The sequence below is a fragment of the Homo sapiens genome, chromosome 4 (assembly GCF_000001405.40).
Source record: "Homo sapiens chromosome 4, GRCh38.p14 Primary Assembly".
In the NCBI taxonomy this organism is placed as follows: Eukaryota; Metazoa; Chordata; class Mammalia; order Primates; family Hominidae; genus Homo; species Homo sapiens.
In genome coordinates, this window is record NC_000004.12 from 96,859,324 (window position 1) to 96,863,668 (window position 4,345).

Genomic DNA, 4,345 nt, shown 5'->3' on the forward strand with positions numbered 1-4,345 from the left:
TAATAACTTGTTCTTCATTAATATGGCTTTGGTAATTTGTTTCTCTGTAGTATGACAACTACAGTATCAAGCATTTCCAGTACAACTTTTGAAGATTAGAATTAGTTGAGTCCAATGTAAATATCCTTATAAATCCTAAGTGAAAGGAGGTGGCATCAAAAGCTTGGTCCAATTACAGTGTCTATGATTAAATGAAGAGCAATGTTGAGTACAACATGGCATCTGCTACACAGACATGTCTTATACACCTGCTGCCATCTCCATGGGCCCACAGCTTAGTCTTCCCGGGAAGATCTTCAATTACAAAACGAAAATAACTTAGAAAATAGTTCACATAATACTTTCTGCGGGATGCAAGGGCGATGAAATAAATGGGCACAAGACATAGGATAAATGGGTTATTTTCAATGCAGTGGTACTGCATTGGTATGCTGTAAGTAAGCCTATACAATGGGTGGTGCTAGTGACTACAGAACGGTGGTATTGGGATGTGATGAGATGGCTTCAGTGTGGATGGTAGCAGTTAGTTTTTCAGTGTCACCATTTTTGCCATAGCAATTTCCTTTCATTGAGTTTTTTCGGAAGAAAAAACAGTTTTGGAGCTTTTAAGCTGCATCATTGCAGCAGCTCTCACAACTCTGGTAGCAATAAGAGCCATAATTCAGGTGACTGTGACTACAGGACTAGCAAGAAAAAGCAGCAGCCCTACTGGCAGGAGGGAAGGTTCCTTCATGAGGCTTCAAGAAAGCAGGGCCTTCTAAAAGAACTTCAGTTTTTAACCAGTTCATTCATCTGCTACAGCTTCATATCATTTCCTTAGAAAAGCCTTTCCCAAATTCCGGGTGTGCATTTGTAGCACTCTGTTTTACTCCTTCAATGAACACATCATACTTTCACTTGTTCATTGCTGCCTCTCCTCCTAGTTTATAATTGGTAGGAGAACAGTTACCTGGCTTATGGTTTTTACTGTTGTATCCCCAAAGCCTGGCATATAACAGAAGCTCAAAATTTGTTTTTTTGAATAAATAAAAAGATATCCTGGCTGACCAATTGTGATGTCCCTAGAAGTCTTCTATATGCAATTAAGAAATAATGCCACCTTGAATATAATAGAATGCTATAGCTCTACTTCTTAATTAGATAGAGGTGGACGAAGCCCTGGGAAAGAAAGACATAAAGCTATGTCCTCAATCAGGGTTCATGTATGCATACATTTTTTAATGATCTAATATATAGATGTCAACAAAGGCATTGAGAGAGAACAATCGTCAAACTGGAGCAAAAGTTGGATGGCTAAAAGACCTAACTTGTCCACTGCGTAAAATTGCCTTTACCCAAATGTTCCCTGGGCTCTAATTTAAGAGGGTCTTACATGGTATTGGATATACAAATTGTTCCTAAATCTGTTGAAAAGAACTTTTATTCATGCCAAGAGAAAGGACTACATCTTTTCTTATCTGTAAATCTCTAGAAATGTCTATGTGGGTGGGTAGGCAGAGGACATTCTCATACATAATCAGAGCTGCTCTTTATTTTCATTGGTTAAAGTTCTTTCCCTTTACTGGTGCTGTTTATCCCTGACTTTGTAATGCATGCCTCATACTATACTAGTCCCTCAGATACTAACAATGAGGGAAACTAAACATAATTTTTGCCAAAGAACTTGTTTTAGTAGACAAGACAGATATAAAAACAGACCATTTCAAGTCTAACTGTTAAGTGCTGTGAGCAGAATAAGAATAGAGGACTCTGGAAATAGAAAAAGTCATCCATTGTGTTATCGTGGAGGGCTTCTCAGAGGAAGTTGAATCTGAGTCGAGACCCAAGAATGAGTAGTAGGAGGTTACTAGGTCCAAGCAGAGGGCAAATCATGTGCAACGGTGTACACAGCATGGTGTACTGAAGAAATTCCAGTTGTCCAGTATAGCTAATTGAGAGTACAAGGTCGAAAGTAGCAAAGGTAGTAGTGAGGATTGATAATAAGCAAGCCAGATCACGAGGGTATTGGAAGTTGTGGCAAAAGGCTGAACTTTATCTTGGAAGCATGAGAGAGCTATTAAGCATTTTTAATTTGGAAATGATAGCATCAGTTTCACACCTTAGTGTAAAAGGATTAGAGGCTTGAAGACTGAAGGTAGGGAGACAAGCTTGGATGCTGCAGGAAAGTTGTAATAATACCAAAGACAAATGAGAGTGGTCTGAATGCCAAGACAGAGGAAATGGCAAACTCAAAAAAGAAATAACAGTCTTAGAGACTGTTAAGGACTTGGTGATTGATTTGAGAGAGGGGATAAGGCAGAGGGAAGACTCTTCTTTAGGTACTTGGGTAAATAAAAGAGGTAAATAAAAGCATTCTTGCTCCACAGAAGGAGAATCCACATGGCTGTTAACAAGGTTAACCCATCACTAGATATGTGTGTGTTGCAAACCTGCTGCATTATATGGGCACAAAGAAGATGCTAACAGGAAACTTTCATGGTGCTGAGTGGGAAGCCTTCTGTTTTTCACACAGTTTTTCCAAGGACAACCACAGCCATAATACTGTCCACTTCAAGATTGAAGGGGGACAGATTACCATGAGCACTTTGTAGGACCACCCTAGCCTATGTGTGTAGCATCAGTTTTGTTTCCAAGAAACAAGCTGCTCAAGAAACCAAGCCCCCTTAACTGAGCACACTGCTTTCTGGTGTTATTTTCTTTCCTTTCTACATCATAGGTACTACTGTGACTAGAGGTAGGGTTGATGACCTCTTTGCTTCTCATTATCAATCTGATATCATTGTCTCTTCATCTTCATTAAAATGCTACTTCATATAGTCCAAATGTTTGTGTTCCCCCCAAATTCATAGGTTGAAATCCTAACTCCGAAGGTGATGATATTAAAAGGCAAGGTCTTTGGAGAGTGGTTAGAACATAAGGGTAGAGCCTTAATGACTGGGATAGTGCTATTACAAGGAAAGGTCTTAGGGAGCTTATTTGCCTTTTCCATCATATGTGAATTGTGAAAACACAGCATGAAGGGGCAATTCTATGAACAGGATGTGGGCCCTCACCAGACAGACACTGAATCTCAAGGCATCTTGATCTTGGACTTCTCAGCCTATAAAACTGTGAAAAACAAAATTCTGTGATCATAAGCTACACAGTCTATGGTATCATTATTAATTACCCACTCTGGGTAAATCATATAAATTACCCACTCTGGATATCCTGGGCAATATGGCCGAATAGGAACAGCTCCAGTCTACAGCTCCGGTCTACAGCTCCCAGCAAGACCAATGCAGAAGGTGGGTGATTTCTGCATTTTCAACTGAGGTACTTGGCTCATCTCACTGGAGCTGGTTAGACAGTGGGTGCAGCCCACAAAAGGTGAGCAGAAGCAGGGTGGGGCATTGCCTTACCTGGGAAGCACAAGGGTGGGGAAACTCCCTCTTCTAGCCAAGGGAAGCTGTAACGGACTGTGCTGTGAAAAACAGAGCTATCCTGCCCAGATACTACACTTTTCCCACTGTCTTCACAACCCACAAACCAGGAGATTCCCTCAGGTGACTACACCACCAGGGCCTGGGGTTTCAAGCACAAAGCTGGGTGGGCATTTGGGCAGACACTGAGCTAGCTGCAGGACTCGGTTGTTTTTTGTTTTTGTTTTTGTTTTTTTTCATACCACAGTGGCACCTGAAACGCCAGCGAGACAGAGCCCTTCACTCCCCTGGAAAGGGGGCTGAAGCCAGGGAGCCAAGTGGTCTAGCTCAGTGGATCCCACCCCCACAGAGCCGAGCTAGCTAAGATCCACTGACTTGAAATTCTCGCTGCCAGCACAGCAGTCTGAAGTCCACCTGGGGCACTCAAGCTTGGTAGAGGGAGGGTCACCCACCATTACTGAGGCTTGAGTAGGTGGTTTTCAACCTAAACAAAGCCACCAGGAAGTTTGGACTTGGTGGAGCCCACTGCAGTGACACAAAGCCCCTATAGCCAGACTGCCACTCTAGACTCCTCCTCTCTTAACAGGGCATCTCTGAAAGAAAGGCAGTAGCCCCAATCAGGGGCTTATAGATAAAACTCCCATATCCCTGGGACAGAGCACCTGGGGCAAGGGGCTGCTGTGGGTACAGCTTCAGCAGACTTAAATGTTCCTGCCTGCTAGCTCTGAAGAGAGCAGCAGGCCTCCCAGCACAGTGCTCGAGCTCTGCTAAGGGACAGACTGCCTCCTCAAGTGGGCCCCTGACCCCCATGCTTCTTGACTAGGAGACACCTCCCAGGAGGGGCCAATAGATACCTAATATAGGATATCTTCGGCTGGCATCTGGCAGATGCCCCTCTGTGATGAAGCTTCCAGAGGAAGGAG

The 4,345-nt window shown here is 43.1% G+C and overlaps 2 annotated features.

Annotated features, from left to right (window-relative positions):
- Positions 3,051–3,552: an enhancer, noted in NCBI's record as "H3K27ac hESC enhancer chr4:97783525-97784026 (GRCh37/hg19 assembly coordinates)". NCBI's record gives its function as "activates a minimal SCP1, AML or CMV promoter by ChIP-STARR-seq in primed H9 embryonic stem cells {active_cell/tissue: H9 hESC(primed)}" and the evidence as "EXISTENCE:reporter gene assay evidence [ECO:0000049][PMID:30033119]".
- Positions 3,553–4,052: an enhancer, noted in NCBI's record as "H3K27ac hESC enhancer chr4:97784027-97784526 (GRCh37/hg19 assembly coordinates)". NCBI's record gives its function as "activates a minimal SCP1, AML or CMV promoter by ChIP-STARR-seq in primed H9 embryonic stem cells {active_cell/tissue: H9 hESC(primed)}" and the evidence as "EXISTENCE:reporter gene assay evidence [ECO:0000049][PMID:30033119]".